The sequence below is a fragment of the Homo sapiens genome, chromosome 11 (genome assembly GCF_000001405.40).
Source record: "Homo sapiens chromosome 11, GRCh38.p14 Primary Assembly".
NCBI classification, from domain to species: domain Eukaryota; kingdom Metazoa; phylum Chordata; class Mammalia; order Primates; family Hominidae; genus Homo; species Homo sapiens.
The window spans coordinates 57,283,412-57,284,897 of NC_000011.10; the positions used below are offsets into that span (position 1 = coordinate 57,283,412).

At 46.6% G+C, this 1,486-nt stretch overlaps 1 annotated feature.

Annotated features, from left to right (window-relative positions):
• Nucleotides 358-1,242: an enhancer, noted in NCBI's record as "NANOG-H3K27ac-H3K4me1 hESC enhancer chr11:57051243-57052127 (GRCh37/hg19 assembly coordinates)". NCBI's record gives its function as "activates a minimal SCP1, AML or CMV promoter by ChIP-STARR-seq in naive H9 embryonic stem cells {active_cell/tissue: H9 hESC(naive)}" and the evidence as "EXISTENCE:reporter gene assay evidence [ECO:0000049][PMID:30033119]".

Below are 1,486 nucleotides of genomic sequence, written 5' to 3' on the forward strand. Positions count from 1 at the left end.
TTTGAACTTCAGAGTGATGACTTAGGGTATCTGGCAGAAGAAATTTCTAAGCAGCAAAGCATTCAAGATGTGGTATGTCTGCTTCTAATAACCTACAATCAAATACAGAGACAAAGAAATGACTTATGTTTGGAACTTGTATTTAAAAGGGAAGCAGAGCATAAAAATTTGGAAAATTTGCAGCCTGCCCATGTGGTAAAGAAAGAAAAAGCATTTTCAGAGGAGGAATACAAGCAGGCCGCAAAGCAACCACTTGCTAGAGAGATTAGTGTGACTAAAAAAGGATCCAAGTGCTAATAAGCAAGACAATGGGAAAAAGGGCCTTGAAGGCATTTTAGAAATCTTCTAGGTAGCCCCTCCCATCACAGGCCCAGAAACCTAGGAGGAAAGAACAGTTTCAGGAGCCACTCCCAGGGCACCTGCTGCCCTGCACAGCCTCAGGACACTGTTTCCTGATTCAGGCCTACTCTGGCTACGGCCTTGGCTCAAAGGGGCCCAGGTACAGCTCAATCTGCCACTCTAGAGGGCTCATGCTGTAAGCCTTAGTGGCTTCCACATAATGTTAAGCCTGTAGGTGTGCAGAATGCAAGAGTGAAGGAGGCTTGGTAGCTCCACCTATATTTCAGAGAATGCATGGAAAGGCTTAGGAGCCCAGGCAGAAGCCTCCTGCAGGGGTGGACCCCACCACAGAGATGTTCTACTAGGGCAGTGCAAAGGGAAAGTGCGGGGTTGGAGCCTCCACACGAAGTCCCCACTAGAGCACTACCCAGTGGAGCTGTAAGAAAGGGGCCACCACTCTTCAGACCCCACAATGGTACAGCCAACAGCAGCTTGCATCCTGAGCCTGGAAAAGCCTCAGGCACTCAACTCCAGTCCCTGAGAGTGGCCATGGGGGTTGTACCCTGCAAAACCACAAGGGCAGACTTTCCAAAGGCCTTAGAGTCCCACCCTTCCATAAGTGTGCTCTGGATGTGGGACATGGTATCAAAGGAGACTATTTTGGAGCTTTAAGATTTAATAACTGATCTGCTGGGTTTCAGATTTGTATGGGGCCTACTGCCCCTTTCTTCTGGCTGATTTTTCCCTTTTGGAATGAGAATATTTACCCAATGCTGGTACCACCATTGTATCTTGAAAGTAAATAACTTCTTTTGATTTTACAGGCTGATAGGTAGAAGGAGTGAGTCTCAGATAAAACTTAAAACTTTGGACTTGATGCTGGAACGAGTTAACACTTTGGAAGACTGTTGCGAAGGAATGATTGTATCTTGCAATGTGAGAAGAACATGAGATTTAGAGGGCCAGGGGCGGAATGATATGGTTTGGATGTTTGTCCCTTCCAAATCTCATGTTGAAATGTGACCTCCAATGTTGGAGATGGTGCCTGGTGGGAGGCAATTTGATTATGGGGGCGAATTCCTCATGAATGACTCAGCATTATCCCCTTGGTAATGAGTGAGTTCTCTCTCCACCAGTTCATGCGAGA